A 27,663-nucleotide genomic window follows, 5' to 3' on the forward strand; every position below is an offset into this window, starting at 1 on the left:
TTAAAGTCCCTACCCTAGAAACAGGGACAAAAGTTAAAATGGAATGAGCCTTAAACAACTGAATACACATCTCTCCACCTTTATTCTATATGATAATTTCCCTCAAAAACAGAATGGATAAATAAATACATTGTGGTACATTAATACAATGGAATACTGTATAACCATAAAAAATAAACTCTCGCATACACAATGTGTATGATCTCACATACATTATATTGAATGAAAGAAGCTTGACACCAAAGAGTACATACTTTTCAATTCTACCTATAAAAAGTTCAAAAAAGGGAAAATAATCTGTGGTGATAGAGATCACCACGATGCTTAATTTATGAAATTAATGATTGAAAATTATTAAGTCACTTTTGAGATTTTGGATTGCTAGTAATATTATGTACCTTGATCTGGGTGGCATTTACATGAGTTATTTACAATGTGAAAAGAAGTTTGAAGTATACAGTTTAGATTTGTGTACACTTCTCTGTGTATTAAATTTTAATAAAAAGATTTACTCAGAAAACAAAAATACACATAAAAAATTCTGAAAGAAAAAGCATCAAAATTTCAGGAACATTGAATTTTTTTTGGTCTCAAATCAATGATAATTTCTTTTTTAAAAAAGAAATTCCTAAAGATTCTAAGTATTCTTAGGGACAATATTCTAATGTAATAATTGGAAAAAGTAAAATAAGCTTTATTTTAAAAGCTATATCTTGCTGTTGTCCTTTTTAAAGATTCTTTAGGAACTATGCTCAAAGATCTTTTTTTTTTTTTTTTTTTAGGAAATTAAGGGTTTTATTTTGATTTTTGGTTACGTAGTCAATTATGGACGAACTAAGATGGTATCACATTACAGTCTGTTTAGATCACATCTTTGGACACAATTGCAGCTTGAGCTGCAAGGACTGCATGAATGGAGGAAAGTGCCAGGAAGGAAAGAGTGAATGCTCCTGCCCAGCAGGTTGCCGTGTCATTCTTTGTAATGAAAGTAAGTGACACCCTGAGAATTGGGTAAGTGCTCCAAACTACTCCTTTACATATGTTCTCCCCAAAATGTTTTAATAAAGTAAGCAATTGATAAGTATGAGAAGACAATTTATTTGTTGGGCATAAATAATGCTTATGAAGTGCTTTAAGTTTTAAACTGAATATGTGATTTAAAAAGGAGATTTTATGTTCCCTAGGAAACTCAACATGCTGTCTCTTGTTTATCCATGGAATGTAAAAGTTAATAAAGGATCCTAATATTCTAGGCCTATAAAAATCCCTCCATTTAAATAAATCATTAGGCCCTGACAAGCTATTCCCAATGAAGAAAAAAGGAAAGGATTTGTGCTACAAAGTGCAATTTAAATGGACTTGCTTGACTGTTTGCTACTTGGTTTTGTGTACTTTTTTGTTCTTTTTCTTTTTAAAAACATGTAAACACAGCCAATGACACTGGTTTAATTTTTTTATTCAAGTCTCTCATGAGTAAGTTCAAAGATTTAAAAATGATACTGCCCAAAATTCCTTTCCTCTATATTTTAAATGAAGGTATGCTTTCAGGAGTTCAAACTTCCAAGTGATAAAATGTATTGACTATCTTTGTTTCTTCTTTCTCTTTTTAAATTCATTTTATGAGTTCTATTTATATAAGTGTTTTGTCTTAGTTTTTGTGATTGGCTTGGAAGATGATATGAACAGATTTTCTTTTGAACTCTCTACATATGGGAGGAACACAGCTGTTGTTACTCTTATATGATATAGATGCAAAACTTCAGTCATAACATAGTGAAATGGTTTAACCAAGATTACTAGTTAGGGTTTTGAGGATCTTCCTCATGCATCCCTCTGATCATGTTTCTCTGCTGCTGAAAAGCTTTGTGCCTTTCCCTTCACATAAAGTGTATACATCTTACCCAGTCACTAGTGGCCATCAGACTCTCATAAATCCTTTTGGCTTTTTGTCCTAGTCTTAACGCTTCACCTAACCTATTATTTCCCGCATACTAAACCACTCACTACTTAATGTGCTGCATTTTTCATCTTTGTGCCTTTTGCTAAACTGTCATCCTTGAAGGCCTATTTCTGCCTATTGCATGAAGCTTTATTTGATGGCCTCAGTCTAACACAGCTATTTATGTTTTTGGTGGATTAAAAAAAAATTCTCTCTCTCTACATTGGATTATTTTCTATCTTCTTTACTAGACTGAGAGCTTGCTGGCCAGGTCCTATTCATGCTTATTCATTGTGAATTTCTCCACACTGGAGGTATCCAGTGCATGAATGAACACATGAATAAAACTTGGTGTTGAAACTCCCAGCTATATTGACCTGCAACTTGGCACACTCAAATACATAAAATTGGGATCAAATAAATATTATTGCATGACCACTAGTAAGTCAATATTTACCTTATATTGTAAGTTTTATTGATAAATATGCATCTCCCAATACTTATCCCTAACATAGTAAAAAAACTAAAAAATCTATCTCAAACAAATAAGAATAAAATAAATAAAAATTTAAAAATAAAAAATAAAAATATAAAAAATATTTTACACACTAGTAAATTTAAAAACTAAAAAATAAAATAATGAAAAAATCTGTCTCTAACACGTAAGAATAAAATATCTCTGACATAAAATTAATACCAAAATATTGAAAATGAGCTTGCTGATAAAATAGAAATGAGATGGCATCTTCTTTGGCTTTAGAAAACCTTGGGGATCTCTCAAATATTTATATGTTGCAATAAAGGGGAGTCTACCCCTGAAAGCAGAACTTCTATCTTCTTTGTACTTTCTCTATATCCTTCTCTTATTTCTTTTACAACAATGAAAACAGAACAATCTATTTAGGAGAAACAAAAAACAATTGTTCATATTTTTTTAACAAAAAGAAGGAGTGGGAATATTTTCTTTAAAATCCCTATTGGCCAGGGGTGCTGGCTCATGCCTGTAATCTCAACACTCTGAGAGGCTGAGGCAGGAAGATCGCTTGAGGCCAGGAGTTTGAGACCAGCCTGGGCAACATAGCAAGTCCTAGTCTCTACAAAAATAATAATAATAAGAAGAAGAATAAGAATAAATCCCTTTAAACTACAATAAGCAGAGACCAGTTATTCATTGGCTATATTTTTAAGATTGCCAGCTTTTCAAATGCAGCAAAATAAATGAAAAAAGAACTTTCAACAGGGATCTAGAAGTCAGTTTTCCCGTTGAGTAGATCTTCTAGCCCAATACATTTATTAGTCTATAATGAAAATATCTACTTTGATTTCTTAGAGGTTTCTTCAAATAAATATATTGAAACAATTTTAAAATGACCACATATTATTTAATTTTAAAAGCACACTTTTAGAACCCCATTTCTTATGAAAGGTTTCATATCGAGATCATTTGTTATTGTGAGACTGTATCTGGTGGAAAGGAAAGATAGGAGTATTTTTCATATGTCAAATGAGTAGACTAAAACATGGGAGGAGAGATTTATGACTTTTTTTTTACATCATCCAGCTATGGTTTGGGACGTGTTTGTTTTACATTTTTCTTCCCCAGAATCTCTACACTGTTTGATCTAATGAAGTATTTGGCAAATCTATAGACTATATGATAATCACAGTTTACTTTGTGAGGGAGTGTCAAATTATAGTGTCGGTTTGTCTATATTGATGACTCGCCATAATCCAGACGCTGTGCAAGCCATTTAAACTTCCTTAGCTTCATTTTACAGGTTAAGTGTTTAAAAATTGCCCCTTCTGTAGTTGCTGTTAAAATGCAAACATTAACAAAATGTAAATTAATAATATAGGCCACAACAAATGCTTGTTGCCAGTCTCTCATTTTTTGTTTATCCTTTCCTTTTTTCCCTTTCATAGTAACCTATGGCTTGAAAGCAAAGAAAAGGGTGAATAAGAAGCCAAGTTCCATATTAGCATCTGGAATGGGAGCAGGGGATGAATGGAGCAGATTTTATAAATGTAATTTTATAACATTTAGCCTATTATGATAAAATGTCAATTACAGTTATTACTGAAATTATCTCAACAGCTACATTTGCTTACATTACAATATAAAGTCACCGACATTTTTCCCAATTTATTGTTTTATAGAGCACTAAACACAAAAATACCAACAACCTAATGAAAACTGTTGTTTGCCTGACTTTGTCTTATCTTTGGCAATGCAAACTACCTTGGGACCCCCATGAGAACCTTAGCTGCATTCATTCCTGGTTAAAAATACATGACATTTTAAAAGCATTTTTCCCTCAGTTTTCAAAATAGAAGATGCAGTTTGTTTCTCGTTAGGGTTGGAATTGTACAGCAAAGTTGTCTGGGTAGCTTTTAAAGTGTGAGGGTTAGAGTTTAAGAAATGAGATAAATTTTGCATTTGAAACTTGTTAGCAATTTCTTCAGTCATCATTATTTTAACTAGCTGTATCAGTAATCCCCTCGGGAGTGATTATGCTATACAAACTAGGAACATGCCAGAAAATTTTCCTGGGTCTGTAAGCCACTGAGTTTTTAATTACTTGGTATCTATCCTGATAGAAAGAGAAGCTATTTTTTCCCTCCATTTGTATCAGAACACGTATGTTCCATTGCTTGTTCATCTTCTCTAGTTTCTTCATAGCTTATTCCCCAGAGACCAGTGAGAAAGAATGTGGCAGCATCGGTAATTGTCAGAATGGAGGCATCTGTGATCTTCTGACTGGGCACTGCCAGAGCCCCCCAGGGGTTCATGGGAAAACTTGTGAAGATAGAAGGAATGTCTGGTGCCAGTCAGTTAAGTTCTTGGGGTTTCTAATGAGAAGTAAACTAAGTGAAAGTTGCATGTGTATTTTTCAAAATGGCCTTTTTCTGAAGAAGTAAAAGACTGTGAAAGCTGTGTCTGTATATATAAAAGAGTACAATTGTTTTGACTGATGACATGTGTAACAACGAAATAAGTGATATTTAAATCTCCAACTGTGATCTAAGCAGGACGAATCCTCTTACAGAGAAAGCCTTTTTCTTCTACTGAGCAAAAAGTTACAATTATGTATATAGGTTTAGATGTAGGAGCTTAGGAGAAGTTATTTTCTCTGCATAACAAAATGAAGAACAATAGAGCTCCTTGGGGAAACCAGGGAGGAAGACAGATGAAAATTAGAGAAGAAAAGGGAAGGAGGTAGAGAGAAAAAGAAAAAAAGAGATGATGGATAAAAATCTCACAAAATACCAATGAGTACTGTGCATAGATTTTGTGTGTGTGTGTGTGTGGAAACCAGTGAAGAGGCCACAATTCCTACATGGGTTAATAAAGCACAAAAAAAAGAACCTGCTTGCACATGCACAAAAGCTGAAGGCAGAGAGTCAGTGAGGATGTAAGTCTCTAGGGATGGCCAGAAATCATGAGGAGTTTATTAGCTTCTCACAGTTGATAGAATTGGGGAGCTGGAAATGAAGTTTACTTCACTTTCTGAGATGCAGTAAGGTCCCTGCTGGCATTTCAGTTACTTATCTTTGTGAGCAATGTTCATTTATTTATTTAAAAACTACATTAAATGGTTGCAAGGAATGGCACCAGACATTATGATATGATAACAAAAAAGAAATAAAAGCTATTATGATGCTTCCATGTGGAACTTGCGATTTTGTTCAAGGCAACCATAAATTACAAATACTGGTAGGGATTACCTACCAGTACTAATATGTGGTTGGAAGTGAGACCATGAGGACAATGCAGACTGTATGAGCCTGAGAGAGAGACTTATGGAGAAGTCACATTTAAGCAAAAGCCTGCAAAATGTGGAGAGATAAAACAGGAGAAGAGTGAGGAAAGAGCTTTCCTGATTAAGAGGCAGTAGGAAGGCATGGGATGCTCTATGAAACCTGCAGAGGCCAGCGGAGCGGAGCACAGGCAGACAGGGAGACGGTAGTGCAACATGAGGTCAGCAAGCTCAGGGGCCCCAGTCTTATTAAGTTTGGTGTTTTTGACCAGACAGCAATGACGAGTCATTGTAGGATTTTTAAGCAGAGGATACAGAATCATCTTGGTGGTTTTAAAAAGATCTCTCTAGCCTCAGTTCAACCAGATTGGAAACATTTCACCTTTCTCAGTCTCCTGACTTCCTATAACAATAACTCTAGCAAGTTTTACATGTGGTTTAATATTTTCTTCATTTGTCCTCTCACCTTCCAGGATGCCCAAAAGGGTTCTTTGGGAAGAACTGCAAAAGGAAATGTAACTGTGCCAACAATGGCCATTGCCACAGGATGTATGGCGCCCATATGTGTGAGCCAGGGCGCCATGGGAGGTTTTGTCATCTGAGTAACTTGCAGGCACTTAATTTGCTCTGTGTGTAAAGCGTGAAGACACAGAAAAGTGCAGAGACTACTGTCAGACAAAGGAAGAGAGTAAAAAATGTTTTCTATAGTTTTATATATATGACAAATATGTTATAGCCTTTAGCCTCTTTATAGAATCTAGATTTTAATGAATGAAAGAAAAATGTTTCTAATTTTGTTTTACATCTGATTAATGTTTACCTTAATTAATGGGAGTGGATTGTTAATAGTCTCTTTAAGTAGATGTTTGATACTTTACCAAAGTTGAATACCTCGGGCCAGAACAAGTTTCTTTTATTTCTCTGTTCCAGAATGAAGCAGTCTCATTCTCTAAGATTTCTAATATTGCATTTTGACTATTAATCACATTTTTCAAAGGATGCAAGAAAACATGATCACTAACAAATACTTCAACCCAGCAGTAACTTTTAGAATTTCTCCCAGTGGGATAACTCTGAATGTTCTCCATCCCACCTTGATGCTATGTGCAAGTATCTATGAGCCTGCAAAAATCTTCACCCTGCTCCTCTACCTATTTCACATCCTCTTCTCTTTTTGTTAACAGACTAATGCCTCTGAAAATCTTTCCTGATTGAACTTCAGTGTTTTAGTCCATCTGGGCTGCTACAACAGAATACCATAAGCCAGGTTGTACATAATCAACAAATACTTGTTTCTCACAGTACTGGAGACTGGGAAGACTGAGATCAAGACACCAGATTTGGTATCTGGGGAGGGCTTACTTGTTGGTTCTTAGATGGCATCTTTTCACTGTGTTCTCATGCATGGTGGAAGGGACAAGGCAGTTCTCTGGGGTCTCTTTTAAGATCACTAATTTTATTCATGAAAGCTCCATCCTCACAACATAATCACTTAATCACTGCTAATACCATAGCCCTGGGAGTCAGGATTTCAACATATGAATTTTGGGAGGACAAAAACATTCTAACCATAGAACCACTTAATACCATAACCATCTCTTGATAACAGACACCTTTTAGAGTCTTATGTTTTATTTTAATGAATATCCATGATTCTCGTCTATTTTATAAAAGCCATGTCCATAGGAAAGATAAATTATAAATATACCAATAAGAGATCCAGTGAAGTCATCATAGAACACTAAACCTGGAGCATGAGGAAACATTAGGCCTAGACAAGCAACATAGAAGAGAAGGGGAAAGGTGTGGGAAACTATGAGCAATAGAGGTGCAGATGGTATGTTCCAGAATGTTATATACCTCCTAGGATATGCCAAGAGAAGAAGATTGACCTAGAAACAAGGATAATATTTGTATTATTGTTCCTGTAGTGTAACAAGACACATCCCACTTTTAGTATTAACTTTAGAATATCTAAAAAGGTTACATCAGATGTTATGGCAAAAAAAAATTGAATCATTATTGATCTGGTCAAAAATGTAAAGGGATAACTTTTCAGAAACATCAAGTTGAAGTTTTTAGGGTTTAATGATATTGGCATAGCACATATTTATTCATTTGCATGCTGCGAGGAGTTGAGGCACAGGAAAAAAATCAGCAAACATGTTTGTTGTGTTGGTGGTGGTGGTGGTGGTTAGCATTTTGAATATGACTATCTTTAGGGAAAAATGATACATTCTAGTTCTTTGCAACTCCCTTATTGCTTGGACTTGAAGATTTATTTATTAATGTCACTTTCCTGGTCTTCAGGAACTTGAGTTTGCAACTCTATATATTCGTTTTTTAGTCCCACCATAACAAAGTACCACAAACTGAATGGCTTAAACAACAGAAATGCATTGCCTTGTAGTTCTGTAAGCTAGACGTCCAAGATCAAGGTGTCCCCAACCCCCTGAAGGTGCTAGGGACAGATCTGTTCCAGGCCTCTCTCCTAGTTTCTGGTAGTTCCTTGGCTTGTGGCAACTTAACTTCAATCTTCGTATGGTACATGTCTCTGCATACAAATACTGCTTATTTATAAGGACAGCAGTCATATTGAATTAGAGGCCATCCTATTCCAGTATGACCTCATCTTAACTACTTATGTCTGCAATGATTCAGGTTCAAATAAATTTACATTCTGAAGTACTGAAGGATTAGAACTTCAACATATGAATTTTTGGTGGACACATTTCAATGCATTACAAACCCCACTTTTCCGTATTTCCAAATATATTCCAGTACTGATATGTTCTTAATATACAAATGGTCACATTTAAGCATTCCTCTGTGTCTGTGTTGTCTTCTGAACCATAATTCTATGTGCTGAACCAGAAAGAATAGGGCATGAAGGACAATTTTGAGTGAGGATTTAGGAATGAGCAAGAAGAGGCCTACATTAAGGCAGGCAACAGCCTGAGAGACCCTGGGACCTGGTGGGTGTACGAAAGGATCCAAAACTTGGAAGCCATAGAAAAGGAGATAGAGGATCATATAAGTTATTATCTACATTGGGAAACCTGAAAAGGACTCTGTTAACTTTAGAGGTAGCTCTGTACTATCCCTGGCAATTGGGACTAGGATGGCCCTACATGGTGGCATCATAACCATCACTTTGAATGATCTCTACTAATGTCTCTTTCCATCCACTGGAAAGTCAAGTGTTCTCTCTAAGCAGCTTTCTACAGCAAAGCGTATGTGGGCACACAATGCAATTACCTTGAGCCTGGAGGCCACTTGAAGGATTTTTTACTTGGTATGTCACTTGGACATCTGTAATAGGGGAGAAAATAATGTCAGAGGGATATTTCAGAAAAGGAATTGAATTACTGTAACACTCCTCAAAGAGAAAACTATGGGTATGTTTTCCTGAATGCAAAGGTGTGACTTTTTCATATTAGAATTCCTGTGCTGCCTTCCATCCCTAACACTCAATGGCAAAGAGAAAATAATGAAAGGAAGGCAAGTACCATTTGCCAAAGATGTGGCCAAGATAACGCTGTTGTCACCATGAAACCTTTATGTTATCCTACATGATGTAAAATTATTTCTGATTACCATAGAATGGAAGGGAATGAAAACAACGGCCAGCCTTCTCATAAGTGCTTGTCCGTCATCTCCATGCTGCAGCAGGATGAATATGGGGCCTGGCAGGCCTTAGCATTCTTTGGAGAATATTAACTATAGGCACCAATGGAGCACATTGAGAAGCAATTTCTCTCCCGGAAGCACCAAAGCCTTTTAAGTAGTTCAGGCTTCACTGTTCACGTCCAGTTGCCAAAAAGCAAATGAATTGCCTGATTTAAAAGACATTTGTTTCCTCATTTTTTTGGCAGTCAGGATGATCCTCTTGTTTTCCCCATAATCAGGCTCCACAGAACTACATGCCTGTGCACTAACAATTTAAAATAAACAAAGCGTGGTTTTCAGGTGACCGCTTTGCCTCTATTTGCTTATAGACTGTCTCGAGGATGCCTACGGAGCTGGCTGCACTTCAGAATGTCAGTGTGTGGAGGAGAATACCCTGGAATGCAGTGCCAAAAATGGTAGTTGCACCTGCAAATCTGGTTACCAAGGCAACAGATGCCAGAAAGGTATGCTCTGATGATAGATTTTCTTTCTTCTTTAATAATAATCCTCAGCCTTTGTTCAGCATCATATGATTATTAATTAGTTAATCCACCAGTGCCCTCAGAAGATGGGTAAGCTCTATTAATCCCCTATATGCAGGTGAGGAAACTGAGACATAGGGCAATAGAGTTATTTAATGCAGTCTTCTTAGCCTCTGCTGCTTCCTGTCCCCTTGTTAGCTTGAGCAAGAGAAGAAAGATCACACTGCAGATAATTATATTCAGAAAGACTAAAGCTAGACAACTGCTTCTTTAAACTGAACTAATCAACCCAAGGCACTACTAACTTCCAGAATTAGAATTGTTTTCTTTATATCTAAGGATTGATCATTCAAACAAATGTAATTCAAAGATGCTAATGCTTAACCATAGAAAAACTTTGAAAAGTTTTAATATGGTTATTGGTGTTTTGGTTTTTCAAATTTGTATGTATTACATTTTTTATAAATATAAAAGTTATTGTATAGTATGATTACAATTACAAGTAACATATATAGGTATATATGTGTGTGTGTGTAGATGCATATACCATTTGGAAAAAGGTATTCCAAGATGCCAGTATTGACTATCTCTGGCTTGTGCATTCATGGGATGCTCTTTCCTAGGTACCTACATAACTCTTTCACATTTCAAAAAGTCTCATGTTCCTTTTTTACTGAATCTTGTCAGTACTACCCTACTTAAAACTGTAACTTGTAAGTTTCCAAACTTTTTTCTTTTTTTATACTGCTGATCATTTTCTAATACAGCACATACTCTAATTATGATGTCAAATATTTATTGCCTGTCTTTTCCTGCTATAAGCAGAACCCCATGAGTGAAGGGTATCTAAAAATTTTGTTCAGCCAAGTATCCCCAAACTTCTGAAACAGTCCTGATATACAGATATTGCTCAATAAATATTTTCTTAAATCAATACATAAATTTGCATTTTTATTCTTTATACATTTTTCTTGTATTATCATGTATTTTGCATTAAGCACTTATTATTATATTTCAGAGGAAAATATCACAGCATTTTTTTCTCTTTAGTACAACCTTGTGTAAAATCAGAAGGAGATAATAGGTTCGAAAGGAAACCATCATGTCTTTGGGGCCACTTACAGAGGCAGGCACTAGGATTGAAAATGGTCTTTGACACTCACGTATCCTCACTTTCTCCTTGCAATGCCATCTTCAGAGGATCTGCAGGGCTTTTCTGGAGCTGGATGGACAGGGGAGTTTCTCTGTTCCAGGTTGTCTAGTGGTTATAGAACTGGAGAGGGTGAACAGTGATGTCCATCTAGATTTCATGGACAGAGTTTACTTAGGTAGCTGGATTGTGACTTTCTAGACATTAGGGAAAGGAAGTTGGGGAAATAGAATCCTAACATGACACTAACGGGTTTAATGTGGTATGAGAGTAGGTCCCATGCCAATTTCTAAACATCTTCCTGCTTCAAATGATTTTTAAGCCCAGAGTCAACCCCTTATTCATTTTCCTCCTGGAGAAGTCATGCCCTGGAAGTCAATGTATGAGGAGACAATGCCATATAACAAACCTGGGTAAACTTAATTTATTCTGATAACATTTTCTTAAAGCAGCTGCTGAATATACTTTATTGGAAAATGCTTCTGAGATTCCCACTGTGAAGGAAAATGAGTTGAAAGTATATGTAAATCAGCAAAATAGAGAGGTCACCATAATCTCTGGAAAACATATTATTTTTCAATCAGATAACTTTGTCCAATTCTGATATTTTTGTCTAACCACAAAATGAAATTATGAATCAGACTGCAGCAGGTGAATGGGGTTGCTATGATTGGCAGTTGAAATCAAGGCAAAAAGAGCTCTCCAAGAGTTGTGCATGATGAAAATCAGGCCTGTTGTTTTTCTTTCTCTTTTTTAAAAGAGTGAAGTAGCCCAAGTGCTCCTAGAGACAGACATATCTTTAAAAATCTTAACTCCAGACCTGTGTCTAGATTGCAGATGAATAGTTAATTAAAGACTGGAAATTGTTTCAATGGCACTAATGAACAGTATTTTCCGCAATCAGCACCAGGCCTTATTTAGCTTATCAGCAATGACTTCTAAGAACAGAAGAGCTGGTTTCTACAACTAACCTGTGAAATAGCAAAAAAAAAAAAAAAAAAAAAAAAAAAAAAAAGAAAGAAAAAGTAAAGCAGCCGGTGTCTTTGCCTTGTTTAGATTAGTTTGTAGCCTAGAGTATTTTGCACACTCACTGCAGGCAGACCTCAGAATGTAGAGGACTCTGGCCCAGCTGGCCCCTTGACACTATACAACCCCTGGATCATGATAAGAAAGAAAGATTTTTTTTAGAAGAGTTCCACATCAGATGAACTTCGAATTTTGAACCCGGTGAATCTTTAAGAGCAGATTAATTGGCCTGAAAGATGCTGAGTACCTAGTATTGTAGAGTAAATTCGGGTGTAGTGGCTGAGCGCACCAGTTTCAGAGGCCAGGAGATCTGGGTTCAAGCTTTGTGATATAGAGTAAGTCACTTAACTTGTGGGAGCCTCTGTTTCTCATATAAAATGGAAATAAATTTGCTTATGCCATAGGGTTCTCTTTTGGAAGTATGAGCTAATTTACATAAAGTGCTTAACAGAGTTAGTAATCAACAGATCGGGTATGAATATCCCAGAAAATATTATAATTCTGTAGGACAAGAAGATACTTCACAGCCCAACTTGATTTGATGTAACTTTTCATAAGTGTTATATTTTTAAGAAAGTTCCACCTTTTTCCTTGGGTTAAAAAAAAATGCTTTCCACCGGGTTTCTAATTCCAGTGGTTTATATGGAAGAACACACACTGAAACCTCTCACTGAGCCCTCAGTGGTCCCTGCAGCATCAACTGTCCTTTGCTAGTTCAAAGAACAGTCAACAAAGCAGATCACTCTTTCTCTTCTCCCACCTTATGCACTGTACACTCTCATAAAGTACACAGTTCATAAACCTCTGGTGTGATTATTTTAGCTCACAAAAGAAGCAGTCTTAGAGAACAGGATTTAGGCAACAATTTGAGGGCAACTTCCTGAGTGCCACGCCTCCTGAGCTTCCTTTACAAATTACATCTCATTTTCAGGTTTTGTTCTGTGCAACTGCTGCTAAAGATATATATCAAAATTGCTTCCATTGTTACTGTCTGAAAAACCACATTTTCAGCAAAAAGCCAACCTCTGTATCTGTGTTTTCAAAGTGACAAGATATAGTATCATGTTGATTTCTTCAGGGAATACTTTTGGAAGTGTTATAAATCCTTGGAGGCTACTAGGATATTTCTTTCTTTGCAGCTCTGTCACACACACACACACACACACACACACACACTTTTCCAACTTGGTTAGGCAACAGTAGAAATCTTGGACCATTTTGAGACTTCTTACAAGTCTACGTTTCTTTCTCTCTCTCTCTTTTTATTTTATGTCTGCCCAGATGGCCTCTGGGGACCAGAGGGCTGGTTCTCCTCTGCACCCTGTGAAAATGGAGGTCAGTGCAACAAAAAAACTGGAAATTGTGACTGCACTCCTGATTACACAAGAAAATCCTGTACCATATGTAAGTCATAAACCTAGACGAAATAACCAACAAAGTTAATAAAACTGTTAACTTTAAAAATGCTTTTTTTTCCTGCTATACAAGATATTGCTATGTTAGGATGCATGTTCCCACCATTTATTGTTGTGTAACAAACTACCCCAATACTTTGTGGCTTAAAACAATGATTTAATATTTCCCTTAATTCTATGGTTTGATGAGGCGATTATACTGCTGGTGTCCCCTGGGGTCACTCATGTGACTGCTTGGGCTGGTAGATATTTGAGAACAGACTGGGCATGGCTGGGCTGCTCAACCAGGGAACTTGCCCTTTCCTTTACAAAACATTTCCACAAGGTTAACTTGGACTTTCCTATAGCGTGACAGTTTTAAGACAATAAAGAAGGAGCATTCCAAAAGTGTGCAAGCAAAAGCTATGTGAGGTGGAAAAGCCTTGCCTCAGAAGCCACACATTGTCACTTTCACCACATTCTATTGGTTAAAGCAAGTCATGGGCAAGCCAAGTTCAGGGGAAGGAGAAAGAGATTCTACCTTCTGAAGAGAAGAGTAGCAGAAGCTTATTGCAAAAGACCTTCAAGTTGAGAGATATGGTTGCAGCCATTTTTGGAAGCAATCTACCATAGTATGCTATTCAAATTTATACTGAAAGGCACTTTAAGAACCTATTAGACTAGAATTATCATTCTTGTCAGATGGGAGCAGATTAGAGAGTGATAGAAAGTGATTAGCTACATCGAACTAGTTTCAAGGAGCCAGTAGAACTACTATCCCGCTGTACCCTTTTCTGGTTGTGATTATTTGTAAGTTGTGCTAACCCTGCCTGTATCACCTTCTCTACTCCATTGACAATGAAACACAGTGACTTGAGAATGTGAGGAAAACTATGGGCTGGATAGTAATTATACTTTTTTTTTTACATTACTATTTATTTGTCTAATAAAGATTAGCAAACATTTGTGATTATCATTTTATGAAGTGTGAACAGTGATTTGAATTAGCTTTCAGTGCTTAGGCCTTTCCATTAACCAACAAATATATAAAATCAGAAACACCATATATAAAATGTAAGCAGATAGTATTTAGCACTGAGCTAATCATATGATCACTTTGGGAAATATTGCTGCCCCTAGGGAGAACCCTCAGGCAAAAGTTACAGGACTAGATCTTTGATGACTTTCTGTATATAGCAAGATACTTTATTTTAGAACCATTATTCTGGCACTTTTGACAAGCATTTCAAACAGTAGAATAGTTTACTGGAGAAGCAGTTGGCTATCCCTAACCTACTTGTTTGCTTCAAAAAAAAAAAAATACCTCTTAAAGGTAAGAATTTACATATTCAAAAGGTAGTTACTTGCTATTTCCACAGTGAAGTGACATTTTCTCTTGTCTAACTCAACTTTAATGGAATAATTATTAAGCAGATAGTGATAAAGTTTACACTGTTCCAGTTGTCAAGTGATATAAATAGACCATTTAAGAACAAGTGAAGAAAAAGATAAACTCCTCATTCTTTAAGATATTAATTTTCATAGTTATGTTACAGTTCTTTCCTTTTATGACTTCAAATCCCAGAAAAACATTTCATGATAGTCCTGAGAGATTTGTTAGTGATAAGTAATACTATTTACATTTTATTGGCAACTTGATAATGATACATGTATTGAATTCAATATGCAAAAATATTCCCTGACTCCTAGTCCAGTCCAATTTTAGTATTACATGCTATTATCTGATTTTACACACACAGACACAAACACAAATTATATAATCACCATAATAAGATATTTAGGAAAATGAATGGAGCCAAATGATAGAATTCATTAAAAATGCTTCACGCGTACCTCACAAAAAATGTGTGTGGCATTTTAAAAGTGGCATGTATTTGAAGAAAAGCATACAACATTTCTCTAAATATCCCGTTATGGTGCTCACAGAATTTTAAAACCTAGTTACTCTGCATAATGAACTGTAAAAATACTCATAGGCTATATAAGTAATATATTTTAGAGGCAGGAAAGACCAAAAAGCTACGTTTAAATATATTGGCTTTTTAATAAATCCTGTTGTTTGGAAGTTATAAATACAAATACTTGGGGAAAATCTTTTTAAATCTTTTATTTCACTGTATTTAAAAAATCCTCTGGATTATGGTAGATTGGACTTTGTTGCTGTTTTTTGTTTTTGCTTCCTAAACAGTATGTGTATGGTGTGGCATGGCCATGGGGGTGGAATCACAGGCACTCTCACACCCTTGATAAGAATGCATCATCTATGTGAAGGGCAGTTAAATCTTACATGTCAGGCCTTTTAGCAAATAATCAGAGAAGGGCTCCCAGCCTTTTCTTTATCCCAGCATTATTTATAACAACAAAAAAAGCTTAAAGTAGAAACAACCTAAATACCCACTAGAAGGAGAATGATTGAGCAAATTATACAGCATATCACTGGACTCTTCTGAGGCCATTAAGTTTCATGTTTTAGAAGAATATGTCATGTCAGAAAAATTGACATTGAGTTGATGTTAAAAGCTATATGTACAGAATGATTCAAATTTGTAAGAACATGTAGCTATGTATGTATATGGGAAATTGTAGAAGAAAGGACAGCAGTTTTTAAACAGTGTCCATCTCTAGATGGTGGGACTATGGGTGAATATTTTTCTCCTTTATACATTTCTGTCTTTTTCATATTTACTAGTTTACTACTTTTTCCTTAGGAATCAGAGAAAAAAATGGCATCATCTTTAGACCAATTGGTGACTAAATATCCAAGAAAAATAGTTATCTATTCTTAAAGTATTCTCTGTTGGCCTAAACTGTTCCCATAATAGTGAAGATATTTTTTTCCTTCAGTCATATTTAACTTATTGCTATTTTAATTTTAGACCATTTTCTCCTTTTTCTCCTATTGTGAATATTAACCATAGCTCATCAGCACTACCAAAACTCTTGAAAAATAAACACCTAAAAGAACATAGTAACGTTTCCTCCTAATATTTTATTTCCCTTTCGTCAGAAACCTCATTTTCTATTCCTTAGTCATTTAGTGATTACTTTTATTTTTCAGGAGCACTTACAAAACAGGCCCCTTCACTATTAAAGGAGAGAAAATCAGAAAGGAGAAAAGACATGGGAAGGGAGATACTAATTCCAAATACATCCATGCTTCAAATATTATTTGATCAAACTTCATAAAAACCATAATGAACACAGGTGTAAGCCTTCCTCAGTGCTAAGCTGGCAAATGTTTAACAGGCTCTGTGAAAGATAAAAGCACTGAGTTTTAGTGTTTGCCGATTTCCAAGGTATAATACTCCTACCGTGGTGATTTCAAGCAATCAATGTGATTTCAAATGGCTTGCAAAATTCCTGAAAATGTAGCAGTTGGCTTTCCCGAGCCGGTAGTTATGGCTCCAGCATACCATTGGCTGGCAAATATTTGTATTCTGAACACACCAAACAATTTCTTAACTTTTACTTTCTCTATTGATATGAAGAAATTATTACTTTTCAGGTATCAGTTTTATTTTACTGTTTCTAAACAGATAACCCGATTGACCTTTTTGGTTGAATTAACCAATAAATAGTTCCAACCAACAAAAATTTGCTATTTAGATAGGCTATTTTATTTTCAAGACAAAAATCAATTGTTTGGCTAAATGGATTCAAGATTCAAAAAACAGACAAAAGAAGGTATTGAGTTGCTTTATGTGTAAACACAGTCTCCTCAGTCTTTTACTCTAGAATTCATATAGCTGGGGTTTTGACTCAATCTAGAGAATCCTTTAACAACCTCTAAGCTGTTTTCCAACTTCCTCTACCACACCCAGCACGAATGAGGGCTGGTATTTCCTTAGTGACACACTTTTGTTAAAAAAAAAAAAAAAAAAAGAAGAAGAAGAAGAAGAAAAAGAAAAGACAGTTACCAGTTATCCAAGGTAGAAGTAAAAGAGTATGTGTAAAGCAAGGCAAAACAGCAAACAAGTTTTAAAAATTAGAAAAACAATTAAAATCTGAAATATTACCAAACATAAAGAGCTAAGGTACAACAAGATACTTCCTCCTCTCTGAAACAATTGTAAATCAGATTTTTAAAGTTGCTGTAAAATAAATTGTATTTAAATAATACATCTCCTATCCTTTCCCACAGTGAGATGCATTTCCCTTACCAATCTGGCTCTCAGCAGGCGGTCCAGCCCGATGAAGTATCAGCAAAATGTCAGCTCCCACAGAGAAGTGCGACAGAGGCAACAGTGCAGCAGTGACAGGCCTTTCAAAAAGCTATTGTGCAAATTCAGTTTTAAAATAGGGATGTAGTTGAGGACTGATGGGTATTTCATTACCAATGCGTTCATCTCCCCCATCGTCCAAGAGAATGAGAGGGGGTCATGGTGCAGCTGATATAAAGCCATTAAGTTGAGTAGCGGTTGATTTGGTCTGTAGAAGATTTGTCTTCCTATCTGTATTTTTGAAAAGTTAATATTCAAATTAGCTGTCATTTTTAGTACATACCTGCTAAAGGGGGGCCAAGAATTGTTCTGTTTTCTACTTGATCACCTTCCAGTGTCTCAATTAGATCATTAAAAACAAAGTTAATCATGTCATTACTTTATAAACCTCATTGAGCTACTGATACTGTTCATAATGAAGTTCGTAGCACTAAAGACCCATCATCAACCTGTCTCTAGCCAGCTTTTGACCATGCTTACGTATACCCTACATATTTTAGTCATTCCCCCAACATCATGTACATTTAAAACATGGTGCCATTGTTCATTGCTCTTTCCTGTAATACATGTTTTCTTCTTCCATTTTTATTCCCTCAAGCATTTATTCCTCAAGCATTTTTATTTTCCAGTATATGTAAACAAAATACTAGAGCCCTTCTTTCCATAGCAGCACCAATCATATTGTATTATAATTAGTTGCCTGCTATTAAGACTGCTTATCATTAATTTTTGTACACCCCACTTTTCAATATACAAGGGGTACTCAATAAAGATTTGCTAGATTCAATTAAAGAACATTTTTGACAACTTAAAATTCCATCGAAATAATTTACTGAGTAAAAAAAAAAAAAACTTGCAAAACACAGCGTTTATGATACTGAAAAATACCCAGTAACCAATACTCGTTAAACTGGATTGAATTACTCAGCCTTTTAATATAGCAAGAGGAAATCAAGAAAGCTGTAGCACCACAGCTTTATTGGTCTGTACTCCATTTCTGAAAACACTTTTCATGAGAAGATTTTTCAATGGATTAGAAGACTAACATCAGACAATGATGATTCCTTAGCTTCATCTCAAGAGTCCAGATTATTTCCTTCTATACTCACTTTCAATGTATGCAATCATTCCTTTTAAATACAACAGAGTTACCTTAGAAAAGTAAACAAATGTAGGCTGGACGCCGTGGCTCACACCTGTAATCCCAGCACTTTGGGAAGCCGAGGCGGGAGGATCACTTGAGGTCGGGAGTTCAAGACCAGCCTGGCCAACCCCATCTCTACTGAAAATACAAAAATTAGCCTGGAGTGGTGGCACACGCCTGTAATCCCAGCTACTCAGGAGGCTGAGGCAGGAGAATCACTTGAACCCGGGAGGCAGAGGTTGCAGTGAGCTGAGATTGCGCCATTGCACTCCAGCCTGGGCGACAAAAAAAAAAAAAAAGAAAAAGAAAAGTGAACAAATATCTCTGGCTTTTAGTGTCTGTATATAAAAGGAAAGAGTTCGACTATATAATTATATAATATATAATTCAATGTATAGAGAATAACATTATGTAGTAAATATAGACATGCTGTATAGTGATGTATTACTCAAAGCTCATGTTGAGTATCTACTCTGTATTACACACTGTGTTTTGTGTTTTCCATCAGTATGCTCACTTAAACCTTAGAACAACTATCTGAATTTGGTACTATTATCATCCCCATTTCATGAACGAGGAGGCTGTATATAGGAAGAATTAAGTAATTTGTCTGAAGTAATTAATAATTGAGGACTAGATAATCAGTAAAGTACATACCAATATTATATATCTATCAAATGAGACAGTGCTTTCTAATATTAATTTTGTAGCTGCCTGCTTATAAAATTGAGAGAAAATAAAGGAATTTAAGATTCCATAGAAAAAAACCTAAGCAGTCAAGAAATTTCCTTAAGGTTGTTTTATTTTTGGCCCCACCTTTGCAGATTGCAAAAATCGTTGCTAACATAGCCGAAAACATTGTTGAAATGTCAAATGCTATTAATAGCCCATACTCAATTTAATGGTGGAGGGATGTTGTTTTTGTTTTGTTTGGTTTGTTTGTTTGTTTGGTCCTTATATAGCACATCCAACCTATTTCTACAGCCTAAGTTGCCTGGTACACCGCGTTTCCTGGTGGGACCTTGATATCAGCCAATGTCCCTACCTGTTCAACTGGACCAAGCCTGATGACAGATGCTGTATATCAGAAGTTAATTATAGGGCCAGGTGCGGTGGCTCACGCCTGTAATCTCAGCACTTTGGGAGGCCGAGGTGGGTGAATTACCTGAGGTCAGGAGTTTGAGACCACCCTGGCCAACATGGTGAAACCCTGTCTCTGCTGAAAATATCAAAAATTAGGCAGGTGTTGTGGCAGGCGCCTGTAATCCCAGATACTCCAGAGGCTGAGGCACAAGAATTGCTTGAACCCAGGAGGCAGAGGTTGCAGTGAGCCGAGATCATGCCACTGCACTCCAGCCTGGACAACAGAGCGAGACTCCATCTCAAAAAACAAAAACAAAAACAGAAGTTGATTATATATCCAGTTCTTCACCTAACCTAATGACCTAACAAATTTTCTCTACCTTCTGCAGATGCTGAGTTGTCTCAGTCTTTTTTCGTTTTTAGAGGGCTACCCAATCTTGACTGTGTTTAAAAGCCTCTTTGTGTGTTGGGGTAAATATAGCTGGCTAGCTGCCTACAGTAATCTGTGATTACTCTTCCTGCTTGCTTCCAGAGTCCTGAATTGAATATCTGGCAAAGCGCAAAATAAATTCTTATTTCTACAAGGCAAGTCATCCAGAAGTTGCCCTCCAATACACATACCTTTCATATAGACATAGACACAGACCCTTTGTTTGTGAGTTGGACTCACAGTCCACTGTGTTCTGCAATTTTTTATCTACTTATGATTCAATTGTATCTACTTATGATTTATATTTACTTGTTTGGCATCTATTCATTCTAGTACCATAATTTCTTAATATTCAAATATAAGGACCAGTCTGACATATAGAACTCTTTTCTCTCTAAGTGTTTCTTTTTTTAATGCCACTGTGTATAAATATCATTGTGTCTTTCGCAAGCAAACACCCTAAAAATGTCCATATGGTGTCAATATTCCTGAGAAGTTTTCAGAGTACATTGAAGGCGAGAAAGGTCTCAGGTCATAATAACCATTAAGTTTTAATTTTGTTACTATCTCTTGAGTCTTTTATGTACCTATTATTTGTTAAGTATATATGGGGGAGGGGTCCTCAACCCCTGGGCCACAGATTGGTACTTGTCTGTGGCCTGTTAGAAACAGGCCTACACAGCAGGAGGTGAATGTTGGGCAAGTGAGTGGAGCTTCGTCTGTATTTACAGCTACTCCCCATTGCTTACATTGCTGCCTGAGTGCCACCTCCTGTCAGATCAATAGTGGCATTAGATCCTCAAAGGAGCATGAATCCTATTGCAGAACTGCGCATGTGAGGGATCTAGGTTACATGCTCCTTATGAGAATCTAATGCCCAATGATCTATCACTGTCTCCCATCACTCCCAGATGGGACCATCTAGTTGCAGGAAACAAGCTCAGGGCTCCCACTAATTCTACATTATGGTGAGTTGCATAATTATTTCATTATATATTACAATGTAATAATAATAGAAATAAAGTGCACAATAAATGTAATGTACTTATATCTTCCCAAAACCATCCACCCCACCCTGGCCCAGACCATGGAAAAATTATCTTCCATAAAACTGGTCCCTGGTACCAAAAAGGTTGGGGACCACCACTATATGAAATACTAAAAAAGTTAAGACAACATCTTGCCCTCAAGGAATTCGTGCACAATTTAATGAAAGAAGTTGTGTAAATCACTTATTTTAATTATATTTTAAAAGATATTGAAATAATAGATGTTTGATAGCAGACTGTTATTAATCCTACCAGAGGGAACACCTAAGGGCTTTCTGTCACACGCGTCCATGTGAAGAGACCACCAACAGGCTTTGTGTGAGCAATAAAGCTTTATTTTATTTTATTATTTATTTATTTATTTATTTTGAGATGGAGTCTCACTCTTTCGCCCAAGCTGGAGTGCAGTGGTGTGATCTCGGCTTGCTGCAAGCTCCACCTCCCGGGTTCACACCACTCTCCTGCCTCAGTCTCCCGAGTACCTGGGACTACAGGGACCATGCCTGGCTAATTTTTTATATTTTTATTAGAGACAGGTTTTCATAGTGTTAGACAGGATGGTGTCGGTCTCCTGACCTTGTGATCCACCTGCCTCGGCCTCCCACAGTGCTAGGATTACAGGCGTGAGCCACCGCACCTGGCCGCAATAAAGCTTTTTAATCACCTGGGTGCAGGTGGGCTGAGGCTGAAAAGAGAGCCAGCAAGGAAGATAGGGGTGGGGCAGTTTTACAGGATTTGGGTGAGTAGTGGAAAATTACAGTCAAAGGGGGTTTTTCTCTTGCGGGCAGGGGCAGGGGTCACAAGGTGCTCGGTGGGGGAGCTTCTGAGACTTATTGTCGAGGAGAAGGAATTTCACCAAGGTAATCAATCAGTTAAGGTGGGGCAGGAACAAATCACAATGGTGGAATGTCATCAGTTAAGGCAGGAACTGGCCATTTTCACTTCTTCTGTGATTCTTCAGTTGCTTCAGGCCATCTGGGTGTATACGTGCAGGCTTGGGCTCAGAGGCCTGACACTTTCTTCAAGAGGCAGGATATTATCCAAACCCTAAAGGATGGGTAAAAATTACGAGAGTGGGCTGGTATAGAGTTCATCCCAGGTAGAGGTACTAGCATGAACAATGGGCTAATGGTGTGAAAAAATATGCACATATAAGATATAAATGGAGTGGTTTGTATGTGATGGGAAATGAAAATAAAAGGCCTAGAATAAGGGTCAAATGATGAAAAGCCCTGGATGACACATTAAGAGATTTAGGCTTTGTTTTTGATTTGAAAGTAATGAGAAGGATCTAAGTATTTTTGTGGGATAAATGAATATGAACTCAGTCACATTGTGCAGCACGTCATTGTATCTCTGCTCTGTTCAGCATCTCTGTTGATACTTGCTTCTCTGGTTGTGGATAAAGTTCCAGAAAACTCACAAAACTTTTCTAGTCACTCAATTTTTGTTGTATAATTCAATTAAAAATATCAAAACTTCAATTTCTAATCAAATATAAAGCTTGTTCCCTTGGCTAGCCAGGCCTATCACAAGCTCAAAAGTGGGGAAGAAAGAAATGATGGACTTCTTCACTCTGGCCTCATCCGGCTCTTGTCCTCCACCCCTTTCTAGGAACGTCCTCTTCAAGGATAACTTCTGTGGGGCCGCTATCCAACCTGTAGGAAATGTGCTGTTTTACTTTGCAGGTTGTTGAAGTGTCATTATGTAGTCTCTTATCTTCAGAAGCAGGTCAGATACCAGCTCATGAATCTTCCAGTTTCCAGGAGGCTCATATTAAGCTCTCAGAGTGATTCTCTCAAAGCCCTCTCCTTTGGTTGAAGGCAAGAGGAAAGTACTGCATGGAGAGGGGAAGAAGAAATCAGCAGTCCTCTGACAACTCCAAAGGTGCTGTCCAGCATGGTAATGAAAATCTGCAGCTGGGGATCAAATCACCTGCCCTCTTCTCCCAGCTTCTTCACTTAGGCTCTCTGTTAAATTAGATAGGTACTTAACTTGCCTTAGTTTCCTCATCTCTAAAACGGAACTAATAAAGGACTTCTCAGGAGATTTTTATGAGGATTAAATAGCTTCATATATGTTGTACTCTTTGAAGGGCATTCAGCACATAGTATTACACACTAAGTTATAGGCTAATAAGAAACTCTCTCCTTAATGAAATCCCTACCAATCTTTTAAAATTAATCCATAGCATTTTTATATACCTTCAAAGTGGCTGAAAAGCTAAGAATCACAAAACTAGACTAACAGTCCTTAGCGAGACCTGAATAAATTGTCTGGCACACATTGATTTCAGGTTTCTCTTGGAAATCTGGGGCAACAAAAAACATCCATTCTGTATCCTACTATCTAGTCAATACTAGTTTTATCCTCATGATCTTATGAGGTATGTACTGTCATTATCCCAATTTCCAGGTCAAGTAAGTGAAGTGAAGCATGGAGAGATAAACTAACTTACTCAAGGCCACATGGTTAGTGAGGAAATTAGGATTGGAACACACGTGCTTTGATTCCCATAACTGATCTTAAACACTGTGCAATGCTACCTCTCAAAACAGTGTACACATATGCACACATGTTTGAACAGGTTTTAGTGACTAGATGTAGAAGATAAAGGTGACTGGCATTTTAAGCTGTACAAGAAACAGGGTGATGCTATAAACCAAAAATAAAAGTTATTTGGTAGCATCATTTGAGTTATGCTGAGCAGAACATGCGTGAACAATAATATATTGGAAAATCAGTTCCAAAGAACTCCAAAGAAAGATTAAAACTAGGATTGTAGACATGGAAGCTTTGTAATAGATACAGGTTTGTGAGATGACTAAGTAGAAAACTCTAAAAGAGAAAGCCAAGAGCACGTGAGCAGAAACTCAATAAGTTCCCTACATTTAGGGGGATATGTAGGAAGAAAGACCAGTGAATGAAACCAAGATTTACGTACAAACTCGCAGCCTTAAAACTAAATTTGACTTGCAGATGTGTTTTGAATGACAGGCAAATTCATTTTAAAATAGGTGATTCGATATTTAAAAAGACCAGAAAACGTAGGAACACTGGACCCATGTTCCTGTGTGGGAACAAATGGCCACATTGAATGAACTCTTACTTCTTTAGGTAGGGCAGGTGCTTTCTGGTCGGTCATGGTCCCTACCACTCCCTCGTGTTTTGCCTGCTGAGACTTCACCTACTTACTCCTGTGTGTCGCCTGCTTGGTCCTTAGGGACTTGTATTTGTGATTCCTGCTTTAGAAAGGTGGAAAAGAAAAGAGAACTCAGATATAAAATTCCTGAGAAGGATGGCTTTCAAGAAGAAAAGATAATCACTCTCTCACCTGCTGCTTAAACAAAGAAAAAAATGGAGGACTCGTGAAGGAATTTAGATTTAGAACTTGGTAATTTGGGAAAAAAATAGAAAACACATTCAGTGGAAAGAGATTGGAATGTATGTTGGCGGTAAGAAACAAATGGAAAGTAAGGAAAATTTTTTCAAGTTTTATATTGAAGCAAACAAAATGGCTAATCAATTTTTTTCTCTATCAATGGAATGTTTATAAAGTCTTCTTTGACTCTGCAAAATACATTATCTCTCCTGGGCATCAACCTGTGTCATTTGCCTATCGATGAATCTTATTCAATCTCAATCTCTCACATTTTAGGTCAGGTCCAATGTAATCATGGTAGGAAGGATTCTAATCCATGAGAGTTATTAATATTGAAATGAGGGCTGGGTGCGGTGGCTCATGCCTGTAATCCCAGCATTTTGGGAGGCCGAGGCGGGCGGATAACGAGGTCGGGAGATCAAGACCATCCTGGCCAACATGGTGAAACCCCACCTCTACTAAAAATACAAAAATTAGCTGGGTGTGGTGGTGTGTGCCTGTAATCTCAGCTACTTGGGAGGCTGAGGCAGGAGAATCACTTGAACCAGGGAGTCGGAGGTTGCAGTGAGCTGGAATCACATCACTGTACTCCAGCCTGGTGAGAGAGAGACTGTCTCAAAAGATAAAAAATAATCGAAATGAAATCAAATACCTGGAAATTTGCTTTCGCATAAAACTTGCAAAGAATATTTAAATAATTGTACTGATAGATACTTCTGAAAGTAACTGTTTTAACTCATTGAATTTTTTTTCTATTGTCAAGTCTTAATTTATCTTTCTCCCTCTCAACCTCTCTCTCCACCTCTCCCTCACACACACTCTTACTTACACACATAGCATATTTATATTATGCATTCTTTGTTATAATTCTTTGACATTTTAACATCTCTGAAATTAGGGAGTGTCTTACAACTGGTGACACAGAATTACATAACTATAATATATTTATAGCTTTCTTATGTAGTTCATTTTCTAGAAATATATGGAAGGAAAGTGTCTGTGACTATATTATGAATAATTTCCATCTCCTGGGCCCAGAGGGAGATCGAATATGAAGGGAAAATCTGATGAAATATGTGTATTTAATCAATTTTCAAACAGTTTGAAGTGGCTCAATTTTAAATGGCTGATTGATAATGGTAGTTATTTCCAAGTTGGAATAAATAACTGCCTGTTGGCTTCAGAGACAATAGTGATGCTCAGTCTGAGATACTGTATTTGCTTTTTTTCTATTACAAAAATGACAGGCCAGAGAAACTTGGGGGGAAAAATTCTTCTGCTATTTTAAGATGCTGTCCCTCTCACTGTTTTTGTGCCATCATTAATCAACTGTCTGCATATGAAGAAGAAAGGAAAAAAAGCCTGTAGACCACTTAATGTGCCTTACTTTAGCACAGTGCAAAGAACTCAGACTTCCTGTATGTCTACCTTTGTGAGCATATCCACATAATAAATGTGTCTTGGAACCTCAGCCTGATATTTTTCAAATCTTGAAAAATCATTGAAATTGCCTATGTATTCCCACAAGGATAATGTGTGTTAGCTATTACCAGGAAAATATGTTTTATTACACAATAGAATCTGAAAATATCCACTGTATATTTCAAGTGTATGTTACTAAATTTTAATTTAAATTTAGCAGAATGAAAAATGATGGTGGTAGAATGTTCATATATAGTGTACATAGAAGTTTGCATTTCAAAGACCATGTCTATAATTTAGGCTATATGATCAGTAGTCTGATTTATATCTTTAATAATCATATTATTTAAAAATTATTTAATACTTTATTCTTTACAAAATATTTTTACATTTATTATCTTGTTCAAACTTGGAAAATTATGCAGAAATCAATGATGCCCACTTAAATATTACAGTATTGTTGAAATAGTAAAGAAGCCAATTCCAGTTATATTTAGTCTCTTAAATTATTATTGCCATCAAACTTGAACTATGTGTTCTCTATAATGAGTAATGAGCATTGTATAGTTGCACTATTTCGGATTTTATGTATTTTTTTCTCCTCTATTCTATATTTTTGAAAATTAAAAGTAAGACAAATCTGGTTGGAAACATGAAAAGATTATGCACTGGATGATAAATGGTCTTAAGAGTTTCATGCAAATGTTTGCAAATGCCACCCTTTGCAAAGTGGCACAGTCCTGCAGCCTAGCATGCAAGTACGTTATCCACCTGACAAGATAGTGAAATATCCCACTCATCTGTTCAGGGCTAATTTTTCAAATTTTAATAATTTTATTAGTCCCTGGCAAGGCCTTTTAAAACTTTGCAAAGAGTATTAATAACTCATTAAAGATTCATTATTTGTCAGATTTGAGGTCAAAGAGTTTGAGTGGTATTCAGTTATCTGAATTAAAATGCATCTACTCTGTAAAAGAATGAGTATTGAAAGACTCTACCTTTCCTACTAACACTGAATTCTCTTTTATGAAAACACATACACATAAACATTAACTCGAGCGTCTTTAACAATTAAATGAGACAGTGATGACAATATGCATGCAGAGAAAAAGATTTGCTATAGAGGAATGTCAGTAAGGAAAGACTAGTTAACTCCTTAACCTTATGTAAGGTTAACTCCTTAACCATATGTAACTCCTTAACCTTATGTAGTTTGATAACTGGAGGACCAAGCAGAAGCTGTGTCAGTTATGAAGCCTTCCCCCATCTAAAATCTGTATGTTGTTCTCATTGAATGTAACCACGAAATTTAGCTGGGCAAGAGTTTGAGACTAAGAAGATAAATAAGAAATAGATGTCTAAATAAAGAATAGAGGAATTTTGAGAATTATGAAGTATTAGAAAAGAGAGATGGGGATGAAAAGCAAGATCTAGAGGAGTCTGTTTTGATTCTTAGATAATTCTGAGATGTGTTCACAGAGCCAGTAAAACGAC

General features: G+C 36.5%; 1 pseudogene across 1 annotated transcript in view, besides 1 other annotated feature; it reads left to right on the plus strand.

Annotated features, from left to right (window-relative positions):
* EGFEM1P (EGF like and EMI domain containing 1, pseudogene) overlaps positions 1–19,102 on the plus strand; it is a 581,078-nt pseudogene extending 561,976 nt beyond the window's left edge. The window contains exons 13-16 of the transcript NR_021485.2: positions 857–988; positions 9,696–9,830; positions 13,306–13,428; positions 17,581–19,102. The product of NR_021485.2 is annotated as an EGF like and EMI domain containing 1, pseudogene (transcript). The remainder of the gene's footprint in view (positions 1–856; positions 989–9,695; positions 9,831–13,305; positions 13,429–17,580) is intronic.
* Positions 668–1,257: an enhancer, noted in NCBI's record as "OCT4-NANOG hESC enhancer chr3:168529953-168530542 (GRCh37/hg19 assembly coordinates)". NCBI's record gives its function as "activates a minimal SCP1, AML or CMV promoter by ChIP-STARR-seq in naive H9 embryonic stem cells {active_cell/tissue: H9 hESC(naive)}" and the evidence as "EXISTENCE:reporter gene assay evidence [ECO:0000049][PMID:30033119]".
* Positions 19,103–27,663: the final 8,561 nt, after the last annotated feature.

The sequence above is a fragment of the Homo sapiens genome, chromosome 3 (assembly GCF_000001405.40).
Source record: "Homo sapiens chromosome 3, GRCh38.p14 Primary Assembly".
NCBI lineage: Eukaryota > Metazoa > Chordata > Mammalia > Primates > Hominidae > Homo > Homo sapiens.